Below are 20,731 nucleotides of genomic sequence, written 5' to 3'. Positions count from 1 at the left end.
CCCGGGAGGCAGAGGGACCTGACCAGGGCCATGCAGTGAGGTGCACTCATGGCTCAGGGCCCTTCTTCCCCCATCTCTGGGCTCGCCAGCCAGTTGTTGGTCATGCCAAAGAGATCTGGGGGCATGGAGCCAGAGAGGAGTGAGGCCAAGCCCAAGGGATCAGGGATCCAGCGCTAAATGTGCACAGGCTGCTGGGGCTGTGGGTTGCCTGGAGAAGGACAGGGGAGGGCTCAGGAAAGGGACAGAGACCTGGGGGAACAGCCTTTGGAAGTTGCTGCTGAGAAACGAACCCTTGGGGGTGCCAAGGGAGGTGTTGTCAGCATTGCCCTCTGGGGATGCCAACCTGCCCAGAGCTTAGGACCAGTGGAGCCCACCTCCCATGGAACCACACCCTGGGAGAGCAGAGCTGGGCTCTGGAGGTCCTTCTCAGGGAGGGCCTCTACCCCCATGCAGGGCTTGGGGGGTCCAACCCTCTGTTCATCACCCAACTCCAGAGAAGCAATAGCCCTGGGAGGGTCCAGAGCCTCGGTGGGCCAGGTGGGGTGGCTCCTGGCCTAGGGTGTCCTCAGCAGCCTGTCACTGAAAGGCAGCCTGGAATAAGGAAGGAGAATTGGCCCGAGTCAGACAAACTGGGTTCGAACTCCCATGCTGCTCCCAGGGCTATAAGGACTGTAGGAAAGTGCCTAACCTCTCTGGGCCTCAGTTTCCTCCTGTATAAAATGGAGCAACTGCTCTCTGCCTCCAGTGGCTCCCCATGAGGAATGAGCAGTATGTCATATGTAAACGTGCCTGGCATGGCGTACTCCTGCTCGGTAAACAGCCACCAATATAATTGCTGTTTTAAAATGTCTAACCACACTGACATACCATTATTCAAATATCAGACTGGCAAAGCTCACAGAGTTTGATAACACTGCTGGCAAAGCTATGGGGACCAGACAGATGCAGACAAGGCCAGTGGAAGTGTAGCCTGGTGTAATCTCCAAGGAGGGCCATCCGACCTCTCCTTTCCTTCGCAACTGTGCATAGCCACGTCTAACCCGGCGGTTCCACTCCTGGGAATTTCCCACAGGTCTGCTAGCACACATTTGAAGTGGGATGTGTACAAAGTTATTTATTGCAACATTTCATGTAATTACCAAACACGGAAACAAGCTAAATGTGCATCAATAAGGGATCAGCCGGGCACGGTGGCTCAGGCCTGTAATCCCAGCACTATGAGAGGCCAAGGTGGGTGGACCATGAGGTCAGGAGTTCAAGACCAGCCTGGCCAGCATGGTGAAACCCCGTCTCTATGAAAAATACAAAAATTAGCTGGGCGTGGTGGTGCGTGCCTGTAATCCCAGCTACTCAGGAGTCTGAGGCAGGAGAATCACTTGAACCCGGGAGGCAGAGGTTGCAGTGAGCTGAGATTGTGCCATTGCACTCCAGCCTGGGTGACAGAGCGAGACTCTATTTCAAAAAACAAAAAACAAAAAATAAGGGATCAGTTAAATAATGTGCAGTCCTTCCATACAATGAAGTCATCTGCAGCCACAAAATAAGAATGAGGAACCTGTTTTGCAAGTGACATAGAACAATAATCAAGATGTGTTTTTAAGGGAAGAAAGCCAGGTACAGAGCAGGATGTGTGTGCATTTTAAAAGGATAACAAATGAGAATTCCTAGGAGGATGACGGTTTATACATAGAAGATCTCTGGAAGAATACACAAGAACTGGCAACAAGGTTCCCTCTGCAGAGGGAAACTGGGTGGTGGGGACCAAAGGAGGAGCGACTTTGCACTGTCGGTTCTTTTGGAATTTTGAATTTTGAATCATGTGAGTGCATTAGCCATTCAAAATATAAATCATGTCTTCAAAAATAAATTCTTATTTCTGTACACTTAAAAAATATCCCTTTTATGATTAGCCTCTCCTGGCCCAGACTGAGCTTCAAATGGGCTTTTGGCTCCATGTAAAGTTTCTAGGGGTAGAAATGGCCTCTAGGAATACTCAGAAGCTGGGCCCTGGTATCTTCAGTGAGTTAGGACCCCCCGGGGGCCCCAAGCCCACCCCAAAAGCAAGGGAAGGGGGACACTGAGGGGCTGCGTTAGCACCTGCCCATCCATCGCCTTGGAACAGTTGTGAAGTCCTTGTGGACAGGTAAGTCCTCATTACATTCTGCTCCACATCCAACTGAGGCTGGCAGAGAGGTGGGAGTGGGTGGGTGTGAATGGGCAGAGGAGGGTGCTGGGGTTGAGGTCACCACTTCCTCTCATGGAGAGGGGAAGGTTGAACATGCTATATCCTCCAGACATCCGTTATCAAATGCCTGCCTCCTCCTCTGGGAATTCTGACTCTGGTGGTACCCAAAGTGTTCAGAATTCCACCAAGTGAAGATTCTCCTCATCACTAAGCATCTACTGTATACCTGTTCCAGGTGCTTTCCCTCTCGATGGCACAGGAGCCTGGGGCAGCCAGGACCTCAATCTTACCTGCCACACTCCTTGAGGGGTGCACCATGCTGGCACCTGCCCCTGGGAGAAGCAGGCACTCAGGCTGGCCCTGTCTCCAGTGCCCCTGGCTGGAGTCCCCTTCCCACTCCCGAGATTTAGTCCATCCTGATGCTGGAGTGCCTGCAGCCCCCAGTGGGCACGGCAGCATCACAGACACCCATGGCGGGCAGCAGGAGCTCCGCTGCCAGGAGACTGTCTCCCTGGATTCTGACTCTCTGAGGTGGCAACAATGTGGAGGAAGGAGGGTGCTGCCCACCCCCTCCCAGAGCTGGGGATGGTTGGTGCTGGGCTACTGGAAGTGGGATAAAGGCCCTCTGCCAGGACTGGTCACTAGGGACCAACTGCTATACAGTGACCCCTTCCTGGCCCTGTTGTTCAGAGAGGCACTGAAGGTAGGGTTCTCCCTAGGGACAAGGTGCTCGGGCACAGGTTTTCCTGCACTGTCAACACCAGGGGGTCTTCATTTGACTTCACAAGTGGGGAACTTGTCACAACGGGTAGTTATGGATTCATCATGTGCCAGAACCTCACAGATTACCATTATAAACCTTGGGAGAAGCTGGGATGGATATCTTCATTTTGCAGAAACTGGGGTTCAGGGAGATGGGGACTTGCCCTGAAGTCACATAACTGACCCTAAAGCCCCAAACCTCTTCACTGACTCCCCACACTGACACACATACCACTGCCTCCTTCCCCCAGGCCTCTGTAGGTGCTTGTATGTCATGGGTCAGCTCAGGCATAGGGTATTGGAGCACAGGCAGACATAGGGGAAAGAGCACTCTGGGAAGTGTGCACAGCTTAAGCAAAAGCACAGAGGTGGGACCATTCAGAAGGGAAGTGTGAAACTGAAGTGTGAGAGTGAGAGGTGAGCTGAGGCTCCAAAGTGTGGAGGGCTACCCTGGGGAATGGAAGCTTAGCCAGGAAGGATGTGGTTTGAACACCAGGAGGGATGCCTTAGGGATGCCTATTCAGGGAGCCCTAGGGCAGCACCGGAGGCTTCTGGCTTGAGGACTGGCAAGATGAGAGGCATCTTCCCAGAAGAGATGAGCAGGGCGGCAGCAAGGCACCGGCTCAGGCGAAGAAGCCCTGGGGCAGGTGCAGAAGGTGGTAGTTCAAAGAGGCTTCTGGAGTCAGGATGGTTGGATTGAAGCCCAGTTGCTTACCAGCGCTGTGACCTTGGGCCAGTTACTTAACCCATCTGGGACTAAGTAATCTCATCTATAAAATGGATATGACAATGATGACGACAATACAGGTTGAATATCTCTTATCAGAAATACTTGGAGCCGGGCATCATGGCTCACACTTGTCATCCCAACACTTTGAGAGGCTGAGGTGGGAGCCCACTTCTACAAAAATTAAAAAATTAGCTGGGTGTGGTGGTGCACAACTGTAGTCCCAGCTACTCAGGAGGCTGAGGCAGGAGGATCACTTGAGCCCAGAAGGCTGAGGCTGCAGTGAGTTATGATTGCACCACTGCACTCCAGCCTGGATGACAGAGCGATACCCTGTCTCAAAAAATAAAAAAAGAAAAGAAAAGAAAAGAAAACAGGCTGGGCACAGTAGCTCACGCCTGTAATCCCAGCACTTTGGGAGGCCAAGGTGGGTGGATCACCTGAGGTCAGGAGTTTGAGACCAGCTTGGCCAACATGGTGAAACCCTGTCTCTACTAAAAATACAAAAATTAGCCAGACGTGTTTACAGGTGCCTGTAATCCCAGCTCCTTGGGAGGCTGAGGCAGGAGAATTGCTTGAACCCGGGAGGCAGAGGTTGCAGTGAGCCCACTCCAGCCTGGCCAACAAAGCCAGACTCCATCTCAAAAAACAAGCAGGCCGGGCGTGGTGGCTCATGCCTATAATCCCAGCACTTTGGGAGGCTGAGGCAGGCAGATCACAAGGTCAGGAGATCTAGACCATCCTAGCTAACACAGTGAAACCCCGTCTCTACTAAAAATACAAAAAATTAGCCAGGCATGGTGGCAGCCACCTGTACTACCAGCTACTCGGGAGGTTGAGGCAGGAGTATGGCATGAACCCAGGAGGCGGAGCTTGCAGTGAGCCGAGATCACACCACTGCACTCCAGCCTGGGCGACAGAGCGAGACTCCGTCTCAAAAGAAAACAAAACAAAACAAAACAAAAAAACGGGCCGGGTGCAGTGGCTCATGCCTATAATCCCAGCACTTTGGGAGGCCAAGGCAGGTGGATCACCTGAGGTCAGGAGTTCGAAACCAGACTGACCAACATGGAGAAACCCCGTCTCTACTAAAAATACAAAATTAGCCAGGCATGGTGGTGCATGCCTGTAAGCCCAGCTACTCGGGAGGCTGAGGCAGGAGAATTGCTTGGAGCTTGAATCCGGGAGGTGGAGGTTGCGGTAAGCCGAGGTCGCACCATTGCACTCCAGCCCAGGCAATAACAGCAAACTCCGTCTCAGAGAAAAAACAAAAACAAAAACGAAAACAAGTTTTGGATTTCAGATTTTTTGGGGAATATTTATGTTATTCTTATCTGTTGAGCATCCCAAATCTGAAATCCGAAAGGCTCCAACGAGCATTTCCTTTTAGCGTCAGTCATGTGGGTACTCAAAAAGTTTTGAATTTTGGAGCATTTTGGATTTCAGATTTGGGGGTTCGGGATGCTCAATCTGTTCACGCATGGGGCTATTGTTAAGACAAAGTGGATAGACACATGTCCAGCACTCAGTGCCTGTTAGGACATAGTAAGCGTCCATCTGTCTCTGCGATTTGCTACTCATTATCATTACTACCTGTGACCCTCAGCCCCGCCTCCCAGCCCTGGGCTGCTGGGACAGATTGTTTCTGTTTCCTGCTCTGAGAGGGAGCAGAGGGGACAACATGGGCCCAATGGGGAAGGAGGAGCCGCCCTCCCTGGAGATTGACGTGTCCCTGGCCCAGACCTAGAGGGACCTCACTGGTTTTAGACCCCTGCTAGGTGACCAGACAGACAAGGACTGGCCCTGGAGGCTGGATCCCTGCCATACCTGTCCTTGCCCCAATTCTAGGTGGGTGGGGAACTATACACCTGTTTCCCTAGTCAGGGATCACTGTGCCCACTTATCGAGGCCCCAGGTCAGACTCCTGTGTCCCCCTTGACACACCTGGGAAGAGGAGTGGGTGGGGTGATGTCTGGGCCATGGGCTGGTGGGCATGCCCCAGCAGCTCTAATGAGGCGTGTGAAGGCCACAGAGGCTGCCTTGGCAGCGGCACAGTCAATGAGAGGGCAAGGGAGAGGCGGGCCTGGCATGACGGCCGTGGCAGTCGTGGGCGATCAGCCGTTCGCCGATGGTTGCTCGGGTGAGCAAGTGCGCTCTGAGCCATTCGGCTGTAATAACCCTAATCTGCTCATTACCACTCCCGGAGCTGATGGGTGACTCAGGCATGAGCTGTCAAGCGTTCCTGCCTTCGCAACCCCCATTCCACCCTCCCCCCTCACATCTGTGCAACAGCTGGGCTCCAGGACAGCCAGTTCCCAGCAGACTCTGGCACCATCTGCTTCTCCTGTGGGAGTCAGGCTCCGCAGAGGGTGTGCTCAGGGAGCCTCCTAGAAGAGCGGAGCTAAGGGACACCTGGTCTAGTGTTAGGGAGCTCTGTGTCTCACTCTGCTCCCTAGAGGGGGTGCAGGGGTCCAGGCTGGGGGCTCAGGAGGCTTGGGTCCTGATGGATGTTAAATGACTCATTTTCCCAACGCCTGAGACTCTAGGTCTCTCCATCTGCATGATGGAAGGACTGCCTGGCTCCCTCCCCACTTCTCCAGTCAACCAGACCTAGTGCCAGACAGTGTTTTTCCCATCTGAGGCCTGGGGCTCCTGTGTGTTGTGTGTTGGGGTGTGGGGTGCATTACAGGACACTTGAACTGCTGACTTCTATGGAGTGTGGACGGGGTGCAGTGGAAGGGGAAAGGGCAGAGGCACCACCTCCAGTACCTTTTGCCCCACCCAGCCCCAGGCTGCCTATCAATTTGGGGGTTCTCAATCCTCCTCTCCTGCTCCTGCTGGCTTTTGAGACTTGTTCTGCATGGCTGCCCCTTCCTAGAACTGGGAGGACCATCAGGATCCTTGGTAGTCATGAGAGCAGCTTACTGAGCACCCACCTTGAACCCTTAGAAGGCATTGTGCTGGCAGTCACAGCAATCCAGCTAGGTTGGCGCTATCATCCCACTTCCCAGATGAGAGACCTGAGGCACAAAGGGGTTACAGAAGGTCACACCATTAGCAAATGGCAGCTCTGGGGTATGAACCACAGTGCGTATGACTCTGGGTCTCCTCACAGAACTGCAGAACCACACGTAGCCCCAGTGTACAGTTGGAGATGGAAGACTCCCCTTCTAAAGAAGGAACACACTGAGACTGGAAAACCTGGCTGCCCCACATGACTCTGTGCCCACCTGGCATGCAGTAGACACTCAGCAATTGCTCAGGGCTCAAAGGGCTCATCAGGCAAACTGCTTAAATCGGAACTGCTCTGGTAGAAGCAAAGATGGGGTCCCATTGGCAAATTGCTCATAAACCTCTCTCCCAGCCTCTCATTTTCAGGTAATGAAATTGAAGTTGAAAGAGGGAAGGGACTCCCAGGGTCACTCATCAAGTTGGTGGCAGAGTCAAGACTAGAACTCATGTGGTGGGATGTCCCCAGGGGAGCAAGCCCGGAGAGGTCAGGAGCAGGTGGGAGGCTCTCTCCCCTCCCAGAGTGGGATGGGTCACGCCCCTGCCCCTTTCCTCAAGCTGAGCCAGAGAGACAGGGGAAGAGGCCTGGAGAGAGATGCGGCCTGGGCTGAGCCATCTGAGCACCCAATGGGCAAGTGCACTGGGCTCCATGGGCTCCCACCAGCCAGTGTCCTACATGGCCCTCTTGATGGCCTAGTCCAGGGACAGCCCGTGTGTGTGTAGTGCAGAGCCACCTCATTCCCCACTGTTGACACACCTGACTCCCTTATTCCATCGGCAAACACTAGGCCTGGAGAGACAGTCCAACTGGCTGGCAGTGTCCTCCTCCCAGCTCCCCTCCTTGCCTAAACAGACAGCTCTGTTTGTCCTCCCTGCCCAGCCACCAGGACTTCACTGTCACCCAGATCCCTGCCCTGTCAGCAGCTCGCCTCCTCTCACTCCCACAGAATCCCCGTGTCAGAGCTGGAGAGGCCCATGGGAAACTTTTAGGACAACCTCTAACCCCCTACTCAAGCAACACCACCTCCATCATTTTTTTTTTTTTTGAGACAGAGTCTCGCTCTGTTGCCCAGGTTAGAGTCCAGTGGAGTGATCTTGACTCACTGCAACCTCCACCTCCTGGGTTCAAGCGATTCTGCTGCCTCAGCCTCCCGAGTAACTGGGATTACAGGGGCATGTGCCACCACTCCCGGCTAATTTTTGTATTTTTAGTAGAGACGGGGTTTTGCCATGTTGGCCAGGCTGGTCTCGAACTCCTGACCTCAGGTGATCTGCCCGCCTCGGCCTCCCGACCTCAGGTGATCCACCCGCCTCGGCCTCCCAAAGTGCTGGGATTACTGGCATAAGCCACCATGCCTGGCTACCACCTCCACTTTTACAGATAAAAAAAACCAGAGGGGTGGCCAGAGCCATGTAGAACAGGAAGGCAGGCCTCGCATCCAACCACTCACTGCTGGGCGTGGCCTCTGTGTCCTGGCATGTGCTGTTTCTTCTGCTAGGACAGCCCTTCCTCGATGAAGCCTCAGCCCACTGAATGAATGACAACCTTGGCTGCACCTGCACGTCACCCGTGGCTGTCTCTATTGTGGCTCATGATGCCCAGCCCCCTTTCCATCACCCTACAAGCTTCTGAAGCCCCAGACTCAGGTTGGTTCATTGCAGAGCCCCCAGCTGTCAGCCCAAGGTGCCCAGGGAGAGATGCTGAAAAAGGCTTGGACATGAATGAATCAGTAGGCTTGAGCCAGAACAAATTCTCTCAATCCTGGCCCAGCTTGGACCCCCACATCCCAATCCCTGTTCTCCTAGGCCAAAGCTATTCTGAGAGGTCTTTCAGGCCCCTATTTCCAGATCCCAGTGGGCTTTGAAGACATGGTCTCCCTTGCTTCCCCTGGGCCTCGGCCCCGCCTGGGCAGAGCCTTCTCTCAGTTGTTGTGGGTGAATCACTGGCAGGCTGTAAACAGCTCTATGGAGCACTGGCTGTACCACCAAGGCCCTGGCACTCATCCTAGCCGCGCCAGGGGGATCTAAAAGAAGACATGGCTCCCACGCACCCACGATGGAAAGGAGAAGGTGGAATAGAAACAGGGGGGAGGCTTCCAGATTTGCATACCAACACGTGCACAGGAGTCTGTAATGCAGCCCAGCCTAGGAGGGGACAAAACAGAACCTGGAGAATGAGAAGGGGATGAATCAGAAACCCTTCCAAGAGGAAGGGACCTGCAGCGAGGAGGTTGGGTGGCTTCTGGGAGTTTAAAAACCACCAGTATTTACTGAGCACCTACTATGCAACAGGGACTGCTCCAGGGCTGCAGGTACTGCCATGAACAAAACAAAGACCCCATGCCGCGCAGGACAGAAAAGCAGAGCAGGGCCAGGGAGGGTGTGGGCAGCTGCCTTATGCATCATTCACAAGATTCTGAAGAAGGACGAGCTTGGAGACCTTTCCAGCCACTTAACAGATGGGGAAACTGAGGCCCAGAAAGGGCTGAGGAGTTGCCTGGAGTCGCACAGGAAGACGGGGCAGAGGCAGACCCCCAGGCCCTGTGGGTGGGCTCAGAGGTGAGGATGCCTCTTTGGACTTCAGAAAGGAGAGGCTTTGACCTTCAGTAAAGCCCTGAGCTCAGTCCCTCCCCATGTGGCCCAGGTGGGGACTCATTTCCAGGGTAGGTAGTTGGGGGCTGGCTCAGGGCAGGACCCCTCCCCTCCTGCCCCTCAGAGGAGGGATCCCAGGGCACTCAGAGAAACAGCAGAGGCTCGTGAGGAAAGCGAAAACAAGTCACTCAGCGGTGGGTTCCCCAGGGCTACGCCTCCTCCCCTCCCCGTCTGTAGATGGGCAGCTCTGACTCCGGGCTTTTGGCCTTTCCAAGACCAAAAATGTAGCTTCCTTTCCTCCCCCAGGAGCAGCCAGCTGGGGCCGCCAGTATGGTCTGGCGTCTGGAAACTCAGACTTCTTACAGCCCCACACCCCACCTACACCAGCCCCAGCGCAGAGCTTGATGTCTGCTGAGTGACTCGCTTTCTGTGGCTTCAACAGCCTCGGCCGCAGCAGGGACAGAGCGCGGGCACCGACTTTTCAGGCTGTCGCTCTGCTAAGTGAACATTAGACCCACATTACACAGCCGCTGAAATTTGTGGCTGCCTCCTACAAGCCATTTGATAAGCCCTTATTGTCACCTCCTCCTGGTTTGCGTGCATCCCCAGGGACTGGGGCAGCTTGTTCACTCAGAGCCAGGGCGCTGCCAGGGGGCAGAAGCGGGGCATGGGTGGCACAGAGCCCTGGCTGGGAGCTGTGGCCCACTTGTGTTGCCTTGAGCATGACGCTTGCCCTTTCTGGTTTCACCTGGAAATGGCTCTCCAGAACGTGACTCAGCTTCCCTGTTCAGCCGGCCCCCTCACTGGTCCATTCCTAGGCACAGTCCTGGGCTCTGGATAAAGCAGCCTCTTCTGAGGTCACTAAACCAGCCCCCAGCCCTAAACCTGCCCCAAACAATTTGTCATACCAAGACTCTTGGACCTCTTCCCAGAGCTTCCCAGTATCCCTACTCCAAAGCTATCTTTCCCTTCTCTAAGCTCACCTCGCCTTGTCCAGGCTCTGTCCAGAAGGCGTCCTGGGCCATTGCACAGGTGGGTACTGCAGGGGGGTGGGGGCCTCCTTTACATTGGACCCCCCTGCACAGGACTGACAAATAGTTGATCTTTATAGATGCCCATTCAGTCACTCACCAATTCAACAAACAGCTCTTTGGGCCAGCTTTGTATTCAGCTCCACACTGGGTCTGGGGATAGATATTAGAGGCTGACAAGGCACAGCCTTACCCTCAAAGAGCTCCCTGTCTGAGGAGGAGAAATACGACAAAGCAGGTGATTCATGCCCTAATGGGGGAAACCCTGGGAGCAGTGGGAGCACACAGCAGTGCTACCTAATCCTGGGGAAATAAGGGAAGGCTTCCTGGAAGAGGCAACATCTAAACTGAGACTTGAAGAACGAGTAAGAGTTAGCCAGATAGGGGAAGCAGTTCCAGAAAGTGGGAGCACCCAGGCAGAGTTCTGGAGTCTGGAGACAGCACATAGATTCTGGGAACTCGCAGGAGTCAGGCTGGCCTCTTTTCTTCTTCTATTGACTGCCTTTTCCCCACCCCACTAAGAAAGGAGGACAGATAGTTATCTCCCACTGGGTGGGCTTCCCAGACCCCTATTCCTGCCGGAAGAGGCCCGATAACTCCCAGATGGCTGGTCACTTACCACATGCACCTAACCTGCCCGTCACTTCTCTGCTCTGAGCCTCAGCCTCATCTGTCAAATGGGGTGGGGCACTTATGCTCCTATGTCATTCTTACGAGAGACCTGGAGGAGAGAAGAGAAGGCCCAGCCCTTCCCTTGCCTCGCTAGGGGTGCAGCCCGGATTGGGCCTGGGTCTGCAGGGGGAAGTGGGGTGGGGGAGACACTGAATGCTATTGCCCACCAATCTGAGCCCAGGCCAGCCGCAGACCCCTGGCTTCTCTCCCATCTCAGGAGACTTTCTCCCTCAGCCCCCTCACTCCCAGCCACGTTGGATGATGACAAAAAAAGAAAAGAAAGAAATGGTCCTCCCACTACCTGGCAGGCATGCCCACGATGAGAAATGCCTTTCCAGGGGAGCGTGGTCTCTGCAGAGCCCTTGCCAACCCCCAGCCCTACCTGTCGTGATCCTCTGGCTGCTCCCCTATATTTTCTCCCCCTACTCCCACCTCCACCTCACTGGCTGGAGGGGAACGGGGAAAGAAAACAGCCTTCATGGTGGGGCTGAGGACTCAGAGACTAGGCATGGGGAAATGGGGGGCAGAGGGTGGGAGGGGAACCCCAGGACCAGCTTGAAGCAAGTCATTCTTCCCTTCCTGGTTTATAGGGAGGCGGAGGTGAGGAGTGGGAGTGGAGTACCTGACCATCAGACACTCTAGGCCAAATTCAATGCCCGGAAAGGGCTGGGCCCCAGTGAAGGGCTCAACAAGCTTATGGGATTAGATCAGAGAGCCAGGGGGACATCAGGAATGGTCTTATCCAGCAAAGGTGCAAACTGAGGTCCAGAGAGGGGCCAAGACTTCCCCAATCACACAGCAAGTTAGAGGAGGCCGAGGCAGGACTAGAACAGGGCCTTCTGTATCCAGTCCCAGTGGTGGGAACGGAATGCAGGATAACTTAAAGGACCGTGACAAAGCCAGGCCAGGCTGCCATGGAGGTCGCGGTCCAAGCCTGACCACAGCTTTTATTCCTCCCCTACACGCTGGGCTCCTGTCCCACCAACTTGGATGCACTCACAGGGAGAAGAGACATTCTTGCCTGGATCTTCCGGGGAGCCAGATTTCCAGGTCTTTCAATTTCCAGAATTGCAGAAATGCTGGAAGGAACCGCCTGGATCACCTACTCATGAGAGAACTCAGGCCAAGGAGAGGAAGGGCATGCCAAAGGTCACCCCAGTGAGTGACCCATGCATGTCTCAGGCTCCCAGACCAGGGCTCTTTCTGGTGTATCACAGTGGTTAGGAGGCCAGGCTATGGATGGGTCTGACATACCTGGGTTCGAATCCCTGCTCTGCCATTCACTGGCTATGGGACCTCACTTTACTTCTTAGTCATTTATCTGAGCCTCAGTTTCTCCACCTGTAAAATGGAGATGGCAGCACTTACCACATAGGGTGTTACAAGAATTTAATGCAACAACATTAGCTCCAAGGGGACAGACTCTGTCTCATTCACCACTGTCTTCTTAGCATCTAGAACACTGCTCAGCACATAGTAGGTCCTCAACAAAATGGAACAGTCATTATCACGCTATACTATGCTGCTCTGGCTTGACATCAGTAGCAGGGGCAGAAAGGGGATGACCTCTTTTATTCCACTGGCCCCTGAAGAGAAGCCAGAGTCTGCCTGTTGCAGAAGGAGGCCACCAGCCATGTTAGAAAGAATGGCTGTGCAGCCTTAGACAAGTCCACTGCCCTTTCTGTTTGGTTTCCCCCACGGCACAAGAAGGGCATTGCTAAGTGATGACTTAAGTCTCCCAGCTTGAAGACTGCTCCTGGACCCTGTGCCATGACCCTACCTGAGATACTTAAATTTTCTCTTCTGGGATGCCCAGAGGGAGGGGCTGAGGGGCAGGGCTGGGCATCCCAGATGAGAAAAGGGGTGGGGACGGGGCAGTGGCCAGGCTCTGCCAGGCTCCTGAGATCCTGTGCTCTATTAGCCAGTCAGCTTATAGGACACAGGAGTGATCAGGGCAGCCAGGCGTCAGTGCAGGCACCAACCTCCACTGGGGCCTGAGAACGAAGCTTCTGGTGGTTGCTGGCTGGTTCATTAAGGGGATGAAGGGCAAGGCTGGAGACTTGCTGAGCACTTCATCTGCCCCTACCACCAGCCCAGCCTCACACTATGTGGCACTTAGTGGTTCCCTCCCCAGCAGGCACAGAGGAATGGTGAGGAACCTTGAAGCTCTCATAACAGTCTCCAGTGCCCGCTCTGCCCATTAGCTCCTGCTCCTTGTGGCTCTTTATTGTGAGGGAGGCTTTATTGCTACCTCCGGGTTGTAGGGTGGAGGGTAAAGTTTTAGGAGCAAGAGGCCCTGGCTGGGCATGACAGAGCAGGTTCCCTGCAGGACTGTGAGCCCCCTCCCAGGGCTGCCAGCTCCCAACCTGTGGTCTTGCCGTGGTTTGTTGCCAGCCAAGCCACATTTGTCCCCATGAATGCTCTTGTCCCCTACACACACACACACACACACACACACACACACACACACACACACACACGCTGACCACACCCTCAGCAGAGCCCCACCCCACTCCTGGCATCAGGGCCTCTGGGGCGGTGCTAGACAGCAAGTCTATTTTCCAGGGGGTTTCAAAGGCCCAGATCCCGAGGTTCATGAGTCCAGAAAGCTCTGGGCTCAGGAGAAAACAAAGCAACACCTTTCCCTGACTCCTTGGAGGAAATGGCCTCCAGGGGCCAGGGAGGAAAAACAGGAAGGGCCAGGCTGAGGAGGATGTCCTGAGGGGGGGGTTGGGGAAGAGGGCCAACCTATCCCTGTCTTCCTCCCTACACTAGTGGGCTCTGGGGAGGGAGTGGCCAGTGTGGTCCTGGCCTTGGGCTGTGCTAGGGACTGTCCTGGGCTGCACTGGGAGGTCTGTTCTCAGCTGGTGGCCGCCCACCTGAGAGCTTCCTCAGGGATCCCAGTTCACGTGATGGGAGCTGAGCCCTGGGGTTAAAGAGTCGGAGTCGTCCGTGCGCAGGGGCAGAGCTGTGACACCTGCCCTCCTCTGCCCACTCCTTGGCATGTGGGGGCCCAAAGCAAACTCCCCTCCCCTCATTCACCCTTCACTCTGCATTCACTGAGCCCTCCTCAGTACAAACTAGCAACAACAGAGTAGAGGATAGCAATAACACAGAGTGCTTCCTCCTACTTCCGCCCCTACTTTACAGATGAGAAGACTGAGGCATGCGGACAATTAACGAAAACAAACAAAAACTTTGCCCAGGTTACACAGCCAGTGAGCACGGGAGGAGAATTCAAATGCTGGCTGCCTGACTGCACGGGGTTTGCTGGTAACCCTTTCCTACAGCAGTAAAGGCTTAAACCTCAGTGGGGTCAGGGAGCCCCGGGAGCCCGGAGGTGGGCAGCTGACCCCAGCCCGAGTGGGGCAGAAAGGCTCACGGCTGGCGATTCTTCACACTTACCACTGAGTCTGTTCACCCTCCCTTGTTCGTGGGCGATTCATGCTTTCTCACGATCTCCTCTCCTCAAACCCCACCCCACCCTCCCCCGTCCTCACTCTCAGCTGTTGACCTTGTTTCTCACTCCCTGAAGACAATCCAGTCTCTCAGAAGTACTTCCAGATTTACACGGACACATCCGCCCCCACCAGCCTCTGCACCCACACATTGTCTCCCCGAGTCCTAGGAGAGATGACTGCCCACGCCTGCCCTCACCCACCACCCCAGGCGGGCACCAGAGCCCAGTCCCTCTGATCAGCAAGTCATCCCGTCCCTCTTCACCGGACCATTCCTGTCAGTGGCTGTTTTTCCTCCCATCTTACACATACCTGCTCTTGATCCTGCTTCCCCTGCAGCTGCCACCTAATTCCTTGTTCCCCTTTGCAACAAAATTCCTCCCAGAGTTGTCTCTATCCACTATCATCAGTTCTTCTCCTCCTGTTCTCTCTTAAACCCACTCCAATCTGGCTTTCATCCCCACCACTCTATCAAAAATACTCCTATGGGCCAGGCATGTTGGCTGATACCTGTAAGCCCAACGATTTGGGAGGCCGAGGCAGGAGGATTGGAAGCCTGGAGTCCGAGACCAGCCTGGGCAACACAGTGAGACCCTGTCTCTACAAAAAAAATTGTTAAGGCTGGGCGCGGTGGCTCACGTCTGTAATCCCAGCACTTTGGGAGGCTGAGGCGGGCGGATCACGAGGTCAGCAGATCAAGACCATCCTGGCTAACACTGTGAAACCCCGTCTCTACTAAAAATACAAAAAATTAGCTGGGTGTGGTGGCACATGCCTGTAGGCCCAGTTACTCGGGAGGCTGAGGCAGGAGAATTGCTTGAACCTGGGAGGCGGAGGTTGCAGTGAGCCCAGATCACACCATTGCACTCCAGCCTGGGTGACAGAGCGAGACTCTGTCTCAAAAAAAAAAAAAAAAATTAAAATTTAGCCAGGCTTGGCGGCACACATCTGAAATCTCAGCTACTCAGGAGGCTAAGGCGGGAGGTGGGAGGATAGCTCAAGCCCAGGACGTTAAGACTGCAGTGAGCTAGGACCATACCACTGCCCTCCAGCCTGGGTGACAGAGTGAGACCCCATCTCAAAAATAAATAACTAAATAAAATACTCCTATCAAGATCTCCAGGGGCCTCCCCATGGCTAAACTCAGCTGTGGGTTCTCAGTCTTTCTGCCACTTGCCCCCGACCCCATGACATTTGGCAGTGTAGCCCTCCCTCTTCCCTGAAACACTCTTTCCACTGGGCTTCTAGGCCACCTGCTGTACTCACTTGGTTTTCTGTTACCTCTCTCACCTTTCCCTCTCTGTCTCCTTTGCTGTTTTTTTCTCTTCTTCCAGACAGCCCAACATGGGGTGCCCCAAGCCCAGACTTTGGTCCTGATCTCATTCCTCATTCCTCTGGTGAGCTCACCCAGTCTCATGGCAACAGCATATATACACCAATGACTTTCACATCCATACCTCTAGTCTGGACCTCACATGTTCCACTGTCCACTCAGCGTCCCCTCCCTGCACTAGATAGCTCAGGTCCAACATGTGCCAAGCTGAGCACCTGTTCTCCCTTACAAAACTCGCTCCAACACATGCCTTCTCCACAGGATGCCACCTTCCCCAGTGGGCAAAAATTGGTTCTTGGGGGGACAGAAAAATATTGATATTACAATGGTTTGTAATTTTCCAAAGGGCCAAAGTATATGAACATGTATACATTATAGCTATGGTGGTAAAATTCCATTGTGGGCCAGGCACGGTGGCTCACGCCTGTAATCCTAGCACTTTGGGAGGCTGAGGTGGGTGGATCACCTGAAGTCAGGAGTTCAAAACCAGCCTGGGCCACACAATGAAACCCCATCTCTACTAAAAATACAAAAATTAGCCAGGCATGGTGGTGCGCACCTGTAATCCCAGCTACTCGGGAGGCTGAGGCAGGAGAATCGCTTGAAACCAGGAGGTGGAGATTGCAGTGAGCCCGTAGCCCATATCACGCCACTGCACTCCAGACTGGGCTACAGAGCAAGACTCCATCAAAAAAAAAAAAAAAAAAAAAAATCCGCCACAGGGAGAAGTGATTAGAGAAAAACGTCTTAAAAGGCTCCTGAGGGTGGGTGATAGTGAAAAACTGATTGAGAAAGGGCGCTGCTCCAACACAAACCCCATTTCAGCCAATGGCAATCCAAGCCTTCCATGGCTCAGGCCAGAGCCTTGGACGCGATGATCTCGGCTCCTCCCTTTTTGAAACAACCCACGTCCAATCCATCAAGAAATCCAGTTGGTTCTGCCTTCAAAATAGATCCAGAATCCAAGCCCTCCCAACCACCCCCACAGCATCTACCCTGATTCCAACCACCATCACGTCTTGCCCGGATTAGTGCAGCAGTCCCCTGACTGGTCTCCCTGCAGCTATCCCCACTCCCTACACACACACACACACACACCCAGAGTGATCTTTTTACAATATAAACCAGCTCATGTCCTTCCTCTTACAAAAAACACTCCAGTTGCTTCCCATCTCCCTAAGTTTTCACAGTGACCTGTCCTCGCCTCTCCCCTGACACTCTCCTGACCACCTCCATCCTCCCTCTGCTCCAGCCCCACAAGCCCCCTTGCTTTCCTCCAACAAACCAGGCATTATCCCACCCTACAGCCTTTGCACTGGCTGTTCCCTCTCCCTCGTACACTGTTATCCAGACAACTGCAGGGCTAAATCCCTCTCCTCCCTCAAGTCTTTGCTCAGATGCCACCTTCTCAGTGAAGCCTGTCCTCACCACCCTGTCTCAACATTGCAATCCACCCCCAGATAACCCTCACTTCTCTCCACCTTTTCTTTTTCCACAACACTCATCACCTTCTAACACACTATAACATTTCCTTCTTTTGCTCATTGCTGATTGCCACCTTCCTCTGCTAAATGCCAGCTCCTGAGGGCAGGGATGTTTGTTTTGGTCACTGCTGCATCTTCAGCATGAGAACAGAGCCTGGAACACACTAGGTGTACCTAATACACCCTGGACACTCACTCCAGCCTCCTGCCATATCTGCTTTCTGATTTTTCCCAGATGGGAGGTTCCATCATATCTCCCCACCTTTGAAATCACATTTCCCTGTCCCTGAAATGCTCCCCACGCCCCCATCCCTTAGTGAGCTTTTTCTCAGCCTCAGAACTCTCTCAAAGATGACTTTGCCTCTCTGGTTAGGTCAGGAAGGGCCCTGCCTGCCAGACAGGGAATCTGAGCTTTTTCCTAAGAGCAGTTAAGGATCCATGGAAGGGCTTTGAGCTGGAGAGAAACCTCGTCACACTTGCGCTTTGCTGCCCTTAGGAGAGTGGACGGGAAGGGAGCCAGGTTGGAGGCAGAGGAGGAGGCCCAAGGAGGAGGTCGATGCAAGTTGGGAGGACCGGGGCTAGGGCCATGAATGAGGGGCAGGGGAGGCTGGAAAGGACTGGAGCCAGGAAGGAAAAAGACCAGGACTCACCACCAATGAAATGTGCCAGGTAAGGAAAAGAGGGAAAGTAGGGACATGGCCAAGGTCTCTGCTTTCAGGGTCAGGGTTGTGGTGGTGCCTCAGCTAAGGACAGGTCATGGGGGAGCATGCATCAGAGTCCTGTGTGAGAAGCTTCTCTCTCACTACAGCTTCCATCCCCTTTCACTGAAGCATCTTGCACCCCAACATTTCTGGCCATAAAGGAAGAGGTCAATGGGGATTTGGAGAGGGATGGGCCTTCCCCAGGGGAATCCAGACCTCAGACCTGGAGTGGAGGGAGGGGGCTCACACAGAGGTCTTTTTCAGAAAACAGGCCTTAAGGCTGTTCCCCAGAAATTAGAGAGGAACTTCCGGCCGAGAAGCCCACACTTGCCTCATGTTCTGCATGGCCTTGTTTGACCAGAAAGACAAACAGGACAGGGAGTGGCCTTTGTGACATTATGAGGACTCCCCAACTCAGCCCAGGATGTGGCAGTCAAGAGAGGACCAAAGGCATCCCCTAGTCAGACACAGCTGTCCCTGGAGCATCTCCCTGGAGGAGCCAGAGACCCTCAAAATCATCTCATGGTATGTCCTCATGTTGCAGATGGGGAAACTGAGGCCCAGAGAGAGAAGCAAATTGCCACAGGGCACAGCTGATATTACCATGAGGGAACTGAGGCCACAAGGAGAGGACTTATCTGGTCTGATGGGGATGGACTAATAATAGCCCCGATATTTGTACAGTTATTTTCTTCCCAGGTGTTCAGAGCACTGCACGTCCATGATCTCATTTGTCCACAAGACATCCCTCTGGGATGGGTGACAAAGCGACTTCATGAAGATGTGAAAATGCTCTGTCATCCCCCACCACCTGGCCCCAATAACCTTAATTTTCTTTTTCAGTCTCTATTATGTCCCCTTTCTTCCTGTAACCAATTTAATTCAGCAAAGATTTACGAGGCTACTGCTTGGTGCAAGGTGCTGGGCATTTGGGAAGCTTCAGGATTTCCCCAGGGCCAAGGTCATTGCTCTGCTTTCTGTGGTCCCAAAGCACTGTGTTCAGACCTGCCTTTGTACACATCCTATTGTTTTTATACAGCTACCATCCTGGAGGGCAGGGCTTGGTCTTGTTTAAGCTTGCATGCCCGAATGGTGCTCAGGCCATGGCCTGGCGTTCGGGAGCCTGGAGAAATCCTTGCCCAGGGCCATGTTTCCCTGAATCCACCTGTTAATGCACTTGTCGCACTGTATGACAATTACCCAGAGAAGGAGCAGGATTCTGTATATGCAGTGCCTAGCACATAGCAGCTACGTCATTAATGTTTGCTGAATGGATCAATAAAAAACCTGAGAGGAGGAAGATAAAGATGGATAGTAAACGGGCGATCCTTGCCCAGAAAGAGCTCCCAGTCCATTGCAGGGGTGGAGGAGGTGGACAGAAAGCAGGATTGAAGAGCTGTATAAATGCTATCAGCGTAGACAACTCCATCACCGAAATGCTGAGAAGTGCCATGGGGCTACAGAAGAGGAGCATTCAGACTCACCTGGGAGAATCAGGGATGGCTCCCTGGACAAAGTGACAGTGAAGATGGGCTTTGAAAGGTGGAAACCCATAGGGAGAAACTCAGTTTTTAGCTGAAGGCAGGGCACTGGGCAAGACGAGGAAGTCAAAAGTCATCCTGGGGCAGACTCCATCTCAGGCTAACCTGCTCCTTCTGCAGGCATGGGGAGCCATCGAAGGCCCGGGGGCTGAGAAGCCAGCAGAGCAATTGGATCTTGTGTCTCAGAAAACCACAGGGAGGCCGGGCGAGGTGGTTCATGCCTGTAATCCCAACACTTTGGGAGGCCCAAGATGGGCGGATCATTTGGGCTCTAGACCAGCCTGGCCAAGATGGCGAAACTCTGTATTTACTAAAAACACAAAAATTAGCCAGGCATGATGGCAGGCGCCTGTAATCCCAGCTACTCAGGCTCAAGGCACGAGAATGTCTTGAGCCTGGGAGATGGAGGTTGCAGTGAGCTGAGATCCTGCCACTGCACTCCAGCCTGAGTGACAGAGCAAGACTCTGTCTCAAAAAAAAAAAAAAAAAAAAAAAGAAAAGAAAGAAAAGAGAAAAGAAAACCACGAGGAGGGAGGGCACTGGATGGAAAAGACTGGGGGAGGCAAGCGACTGGGCAGGAGCCAGGTGAGGCGGAGGCTGATCGGCTTGAGTGTCTGACTTAGGGAGGTGGCTCAGGAGTCTGAGAACAGGGTGTGAGAGGCTGGGAAGAGAAAAGGGTCTGAAGGATATGGACAGTAATTAGGTGTGGGGGAAGAGCAGTGGGAGGATTTGGGGAACCGATGTGGAGCTTGAGAGAGTGATGGGGCCTTAGCAGCTGTGGGGTGACCCCAGGGAGGTGATGTTTCCTCCACCTGGTGGAGAGGCTTCACTAAGTACACAGCTGCGGAGCTTGGGAGGGAGGTCAGGGCCCCAGAGACAGTGCTGGGAATGGGGATGAAGCAAAAGCTGAGGCCGTGGGCGTGGATGAGGTCACGAAGAGAGTGGGTGAGAAAGAAGAGGGAAGAGAGGACGGAGCCTTGGGGTACGCCCACCGTTGGGAGGGGTGGGAGCAGGAAGAGAGCAGGAAATGAAGCAGCCACGGAGCTGGGGGTCCCTCATTCTTCCTCCTTTCCAGGGCGCCCGGCCTCTGCGCCCCCTCACCTCCCACGGGCCACATCCAGCTGAGGAGCAGGCTCTGTTGCCTGCTCAGCCTCCAGGAGAGCTCCGAGGACTCGAAGGCAGGAAAGCTCAGGGGTTGAAGGTTTGGGTTCTAGACCTGGTTGGAGCTGGCGTGAC

At 53.9% G+C, this 20,731-nt stretch overlaps 1 long non-coding RNA gene across 1 annotated transcript, besides 3 other annotated features; it reads right to left on the bottom strand.

Annotated features, from left to right (window-relative positions):
* Positions 1 to 1,665: 1,665 nt before the first annotated feature.
* LOC101927495 (uncharacterized) lies at positions 1,666 to 20,718 on the bottom strand. Its single transcript, NR_110189.1, has 4 exons — positions 20,597 to 20,718; positions 12,233 to 12,319; positions 6,611 to 6,694; positions 1,666 to 3,717 (listed from the first exon to the last, which is right to left on the bottom strand). It is a non-coding gene; the product is annotated as an uncharacterized LOC101927495 (long non-coding RNA).
* Positions 7,850 to 8,517: an enhancer, noted in NCBI's record as "H3K4me1 hESC enhancer chr11:61368167-61368834 (GRCh37/hg19 assembly coordinates)". NCBI's record gives its function as "activates a minimal SCP1, AML or CMV promoter by ChIP-STARR-seq in naive H9 embryonic stem cells {active_cell/tissue: H9 hESC(naive)}" and the evidence as "EXISTENCE:reporter gene assay evidence [ECO:0000049][PMID:30033119]".
* Positions 9,186 to 9,853: an enhancer, noted in NCBI's record as "H3K27ac-H3K4me1 hESC enhancer chr11:61366831-61367498 (GRCh37/hg19 assembly coordinates)". NCBI's record gives its function as "activates a minimal SCP1, AML or CMV promoter by ChIP-STARR-seq in naive H9 embryonic stem cells {active_cell/tissue: H9 hESC(naive)}" and the evidence as "EXISTENCE:reporter gene assay evidence [ECO:0000049][PMID:30033119]".
* Positions 20,131 to 20,709: an enhancer, noted in NCBI's record as "H3K4me1 hESC enhancer chr11:61355975-61356553 (GRCh37/hg19 assembly coordinates)". NCBI's record gives its function as "activates a minimal SCP1, AML or CMV promoter by ChIP-STARR-seq in naive H9 embryonic stem cells {active_cell/tissue: H9 hESC(naive)}" and the evidence as "EXISTENCE:reporter gene assay evidence [ECO:0000049][PMID:30033119]".

This window comes from Homo sapiens, chromosome 11, assembly GCF_000001405.40.
Source record: "Homo sapiens chromosome 11, GRCh38.p14 Primary Assembly".
In the NCBI taxonomy this organism is placed as follows: domain Eukaryota; kingdom Metazoa; phylum Chordata; class Mammalia; order Primates; family Hominidae; genus Homo; species Homo sapiens.
This window is presented reverse-complemented; position numbering and strand designations above follow the sequence as displayed.